The sequence below is a fragment of the Homo sapiens genome, chromosome 8, assembly GCF_000001405.40.
Source record: "Homo sapiens chromosome 8, GRCh38.p14 Primary Assembly".
NCBI lineage: Eukaryota > Metazoa > Chordata > Mammalia > Primates > Hominidae > Homo > Homo sapiens.
In genome coordinates, this window is record NC_000008.11 from 52837777 (window position 1) to 52839388 (window position 1612).

Sequence of the window (1612 nt, forward strand, 5' to 3'; positions counted from 1 at the left end):
AGAATGAATACATTTCCTACATGGAACAGGCCTTTACATGTATATGTATAAATCTGGGTCTCTTTTATGTTGTTTGCACTTATATTTTTGTTTATGCATTCAGATTTTGGGATATGTATGTGTGTGCCTTTGAGAGTGAGGACATGATGGAGCAGCACCTTTGTAAATGTAAGACTTTGAACCATAAAGCAAGCTTGAGAACAAAATAAAACAATGCAAAGCATTTGAAGAGTCTCTAGTTTCTTCTCTGCCATTTAGCAGCTATTGACGTGGTGAAAATTCCTTCATTCTCTGGGCCTGGGGTTCTTGTAAAGGACAAAGGACAACCTCCCCTACCTTAGCACCTCCTCCAAGGAAAATTCTCTCTGTCCTGAGAATGATAAGCACCAACTTAAAAATATGTGTATATATAAACATTGAAAATGTAAAGGAGATATGATATATACATAATATACCTATATCCATACATGTGTGTATAATCACTCTCCTTAAAATTTAGAGGCAAGATATGCAAAAAATCATTAATAGTGGTTTCCTCTGGGGAGTGGAATAAATTTGGGAAGGACATTTTTACTTTTCAATTCATTCCTTTTTCTACTGTTGGAATTTTTACTCTCTCTTTCTCTCTCTCTGTGTGTGTGTGTGTTACATTAGAAAAATAACCTCTCTTAAGTCTTCATATTGTTTCAGCTTGTGTTCTTCTGCACAGTGGGCCCCATAAGATGTGGTTTCTGTTTCAACATCAGACACAGTCTTTTTCTAGGGCCCAGACAAAACTAGTAACTGCAAAGAGAAAGCAAATCTGAGGGAAGCAGGTCAGCAACATCTGCCACAGCATTGTGTTCAAAGGGCCTGAGAGATTTGTTTTCGATAAGCTGCAGTAAAACTTATCTGCCTATAGACAGAAAAACAGGTAAATAAGTCTATACAAATTTTTATTATTTTAACTTAGACTTACAAATTGTTTATATTTGTCCTACTTGCCATATATATTTCTCTTTCTGAAACGTCTGAGAATGAGTTTCAGAATTGTGCTTCTTTGCCCCTAAATACTTCAGTATGTATTTCCTAAGAATATACTAAGAATATTCCTAAAAATACAACCACAGTACAACTATTCAAACCAGAAAACTTAACATGGATACAAAGCTGTTATTCAATTTATAGTCCATATTCAAATTTTGGTAATTGTTGCAATATCTTTTTTTTTTGAGACAGAGTTTTGCTCTTGTTGCCCAGGCTGGAGTGCGATGGTGCGATCTTGGCTCGCTGCAACCTCTGCCTCCTGGTTTCAAGTGATTCTTCCACCTCAGCCTCCTGAGTAGCTGGGATTACAAGTGCCTGCCACCAGGCCCAGCTAATTTTTGTATTTTTAGTAGAGACAGCGTTTCACCATGTTGGCCAGGCTGGTCTCGAACTCCTGACCTCAGGTGATCAGCCCACCTAGGCCTCTCCAAGTGATCCTGCAATATCTTTTATAGCATTTTCCTCAGATCTGTTCAAGAATTACTTGTTGCATTTAGTTTTCATGTCTCTATTCTCCTTAATCTGGAACATTTCTTAGTCTTTGTCTTGCACGGCCTTGACATTTTTAGGAGAACAGGACATTTAT

The 1612-nt window shown here is 37.4% G+C and overlaps 1 annotated feature.

Annotated features, from left to right (window-relative positions):
- Positions 643-692: an enhancer, noted in NCBI's record as "active region_27349". NCBI's record gives its function as "activates an Ori minimal core promoter by ATAC-STARR-seq in GM12878 lymphoblastoid cells {active_cell/tissue: GM12878}" and the evidence as "EXISTENCE:reporter gene assay evidence [ECO:0000049][PMID:35858748]".